The sequence below is a fragment of the Homo sapiens genome, chromosome 20, assembly GCF_000001405.40.
Source record: "Homo sapiens chromosome 20, GRCh38.p14 Primary Assembly".
Classification (NCBI taxonomy): Eukaryota; Metazoa; Chordata; class Mammalia; order Primates; family Hominidae; genus Homo; species Homo sapiens.
The window spans coordinates 62814440-62816212 of NC_000020.11; the positions used below are offsets into that span (position 1 = coordinate 62814440).

At 61.5% G+C, this 1773-nt stretch overlaps 1 annotated feature.

Annotated features, from left to right (window-relative positions):
• Positions 791–1477: an enhancer, noted in NCBI's record as "H3K4me1 hESC enhancer chr20:61446582-61447268 (GRCh37/hg19 assembly coordinates)". NCBI's record gives its function as "activates a minimal SCP1, AML or CMV promoter by ChIP-STARR-seq in primed H9 embryonic stem cells {active_cell/tissue: H9 hESC(primed)}" and the evidence as "EXISTENCE:reporter gene assay evidence [ECO:0000049][PMID:30033119]".

The window sequence follows — 1773 nt, forward strand, 5'->3', positions numbered from 1 at the left end:
GCCCCCAGGGCAGTCCCTCCCTGCAGTCTGCCCTTGTCACCCTGGGCCAGGACCCCCCGCTTCCCGGTTCCCCTACATTTCTACATCAGCAGGGTAAGGGGCTTTTTGTGGGGCCTCAGAGGAGGGGCCGGACACTTGTCTTTGCTCAGTGAAGGACAGGGCAGACCTGGGGCACCCCTGGGTGGGAGGGTTAAAGCTGTAGACCCTGGTACCACTTCAGGTAAAATGCCCAGCTCCCATCTGGTGGCACAGGATACACGAGCCGGAAGTCACTGGGAGGAGACACCCGAGGTTCAATAATCCCCCAGAGCTGCGTGGGGAAGCTGTGGGACCCCTGGTGCCTCAAGTGTGGCTCAGGGGATTCCTGCCATGGAGGGAAACTGAGGCAGTGAGCTGGACATAGGGCTAGAAGTGCAGTCACTGGGGCAGCGCCCGGCAGATCCAGCGTCCCCAGTCCAGGCCGTTGTGGGGCTGGAGTCGGTGAAAATCAGCGCCTGAAGTGAGGAGCCTGTTGGAGCAGCCCTGGGGGCCGATGCCTGGCGGTGGGCACCTGGGGACAGCAGGCAGTGCTGGCCAGCCAACCCGGGCTTCAGGGAGAGTGATGACCCACAACAGGCGGGCAGCAGGAGGCTCTGCCCCACTCAAAAGTGAGCCGGGGGAGGCTGAGCTCTGACAGTGCCCACCCTCTGCCTAGGATCTGCCTGGAGCTGGGGGTGGTTTTTTGAGGGGCTTGAAGGTGGTTCGGGGGGGACACCAAGCAGGTGTCCCAGGCATGAGGTGGCTCCCCTGGCCTGAGGTGAAGGCCAGCTGTGTTTTGTCTGATTTGGGTCAGATAGCAGTCCTTGCTGACTGCATGCTGGGCATCATGGGGATAGGCAAAGTGGGGTGTGGGGCCAGGGACCAGGGGAGAGCCACTGAGGAGGGGGCTGGCCACAGGGTCATCTTGCCAGGTGGAACTGGTAGGGAGGACTTATCCTGTCCCCCAGACCCTGGGCTTGGGGTGGGGCTGGTGCTGGGAGCCCCTAAGGCCCCCTGCTGTCTGGGCTGACCTGCTCCACCCACCTCTCCCCGTAATCAAAAGTCCTCTGTTAGGAAGCTCTGTGCCAGGATGACTTGGACTCCTCAGGAGGGTGGGCCTTTTCAGCTCCTCCCACCTCGCCTGATGGAATTCGCACACACCCCTCCCAGCCCAGCCACCGCGCTCACCCAGCAGTGAAGGGAGAATCTCCCTCCACTCACTTCACCGCGGGAGAGATTAGAGCGACACTATTATTTTGAGACAGGGTCTCACTCTCTTGCCCAGGCAGGAGTGCAGTGGCGCCGTCTTGGCTCACTGCAGCCCCGACCTTACAGGCTCAAGCGATCCTCTTGCCTCAGCCTCCCGTGTAGCGTGGACTACAGGCGAGCACCACCATGCCCAGCCGATGTTTTAATTTTTGGTAGACATGAGGCCTCCCTCTGTCTCCAAGCTGGCCACGCCCGGCCGATGTTTCAATTTTTGGTAGAGATGAGGCCTCCCTCTGTCGCCAGGCTGACTGCGCCCGGCCAGAGTGCGGTGCTCCTGCTGAGCAGTTTTGCGCCCACTCCCCTCTCATCCCCTCCCGCCCTTGCTAACTCACAGCATTGCAACAGTCATGAGTCCCCACCTGCCGAAAGGAAGCTCCTGCAGCCCCCTACAACCCCCAGGGCAGCCTTTCTCGGGAATTTTCAAGATTCCTGGGGGAGGGGCTGGCATCTGCGCCTTCACTGAGCCTACAGGCAACTGGAAGCTTT